Source organism: Homo sapiens, chromosome X, assembly GCF_000001405.40.
Source record: "Homo sapiens chromosome X, GRCh38.p14 Primary Assembly".
NCBI classification, from domain to species: domain Eukaryota; kingdom Metazoa; phylum Chordata; class Mammalia; order Primates; family Hominidae; genus Homo; species Homo sapiens.
Genome location: NC_000023.11, coordinates 62886802 through 62889056, shown reverse-complemented (window position 1 = coordinate 62889056; position 2255 = coordinate 62886802).

Sequence of the window (2255 nt, the reverse complement as noted above, 5' to 3'; positions counted from 1 at the left end):
GTGTATGTTGATTTATTGTTTTATGATTGTTAGTTTTTCTTCTAATAGTCAGGGCCCTCTTCTGCAGATCTGCTGCAGTTTTCTGGTGGTCCACTCCAGACCCTATTTGCCTGGGTATCACCAGCAGAGGCTGCAGAAAAGCAAAAATTGCTGCCTGCTTCATCCTCTGGAAGCTTCATCCTAGAGGGTCACTGGTCTGATGCCAGCCAGAGCTCTCCGGTATGAGTTGTCTGTCAATCCCCAGTCAGGAGGTATGGGGGTCAGGGACCCACTTGAGCAGGCAGTCTGTCCTTTAGCAGAGCTCAAGCACTGTTCTGGTAGAACCCTCCTTGTCATCATCTGCTGCTCTCTTTAGAGCTGGCTGGCAGGAACATTTAAGTACACTGAAGCTACCCCCACAGCTGCCCCTTTCCCCAGGTGCTCTGTCCTGGTGAGATGGGAGTTTTATCTATAAGCCCCTGACTGGGGCTGCTGCCTTTTTTTCAGAGATGCCCTAACCAGTGAAGAGGAACTTAAAGAGGCAGTCTGGCCACAGCTGCTTCTCCGCGCTGTGTTGAGTTCTACCCAGTCCGAACTTTCAGGCCTTTATAGTGCTGTCAGGGGAAAACCACCTACTCAAGCATCAGTAATGGTGGATGGCCCTCCCCCCACGAAGCTGGATCATCTCAGGTTGACTTCAGACTGCTGTGCTGACAGGAAGAATTTCAAGCCAGTGGTTTTTAACTTGCTGAGCCCTGTGGGAGTGGCACCTGCTGAGCAACACCACTTGGCTCTCTGGCTTCAGCCCCCTTTATGGGGCAGTGAATGGTTCCGTCTCACTGGGGTTCCAGGTATCACTGGTGTATGAAAAATAATCCTGCAGCTAGCTCGGTGTCTGCCAAAACAGCCACCCAGTTTTGTGCTTCGAAACCCAGGGTCTTGGTGGTGTAGGCACATGAGGCAATCTCCTGGTCTGCAGATTACAAAAACCAGGGGAAAAGTGCAGGATCTGGGCTGAATAGCACAGTCCCTCATGGCTTACCTTGGCTGGGAAAGGGAGACCCCCCACTTCTTGCACTTCCCAGGTGAGGCAGAACCCCACCCTGCTTCTGCTCACCCTCTGTGGCCTGCACCCACTGCCTAACCAGTCCGCATGAGATGAACAGGGTACCTCAGTGGGAAATGCAGAAATCACCTGCCTTCTGTGTTGGTCTTGCTGGGAGCTGCAGACCAGAGCTATTCCTATTCAACCATCTTGCCAGTAGCCTCCCACATTTACATTTTTTTTAGTGCCAGAGGAGAAGAAATAGAGAAAAATCACAGAAAACTTACTTAAAAATAACAGCTGAAGTCTCCCCAAGTTTTGGGAGAGATATGCATATACAGATTCAGGAAGCTCAAAAATTCCCAAGTTCAACCCAAAGAGTTTTTTCTAAGGGACATCATAATTAAAATGTCAAAACTCAAAAACAAACTGAGAATTTTAAAAGTTACAATAGCCATTGAAAAATACCATATATTGTGTTTTGCATCTGGAGGCTATTATCCCAAGCAAATTAATGCAGGGAAACCCCCGCAAATACCAAATGTTTGTTCGAACTTACAATTGGGAGATAAACATTGGGTACACATGGGCATACAATTGAGAACAGTAGACACTCAAGAGAGTGGGGAGAGAGGGAGGAAGAAAGGGGAAGGAAACTGTTTATTCATTGCTATACTTACTATCTTAATGACATGATCATTCATATTTCAAACCTCAGTGTCACACAATATTCCCATCTAACAAATCTGCACATGTACCTCCTGAATCTAAAATAAAAGTTGAAATTATTAAAACATTAAAAATCTTCAAGAGAAAAACATCGAGTCACATATAAGGGAATCTCCATTAGACTATGAGCAAAATTCTCCACAGAAACCTTGTAGACCAGAAGAATGAAACGATATATTGAATGTGCTGGGGGAAAAAAAAAAAAAAAACAACCTTACAGTAAAGAATCCTACATTTAGCAAAGCTAACCTTCAGAAATGAAGGCAAAATAAAGAACTTCCCAGATGAGAAAAACTGAAGAAATTCAACACAACTATACCAAACTTATGAGAAATGTTTAAGGAAGTGCAAAATTTGGAAAAAAAATGCATAATGTTCACTCTGATGAAAACATGCAAAAGTGTAAAACTCACCAGTATGAGTAAGTTCATAATCATTCTCAGAATACCCTAGTGCTGTAATGGTGTCACAGAAATCTTTCAATCCTCTAGCATAAAGGTCT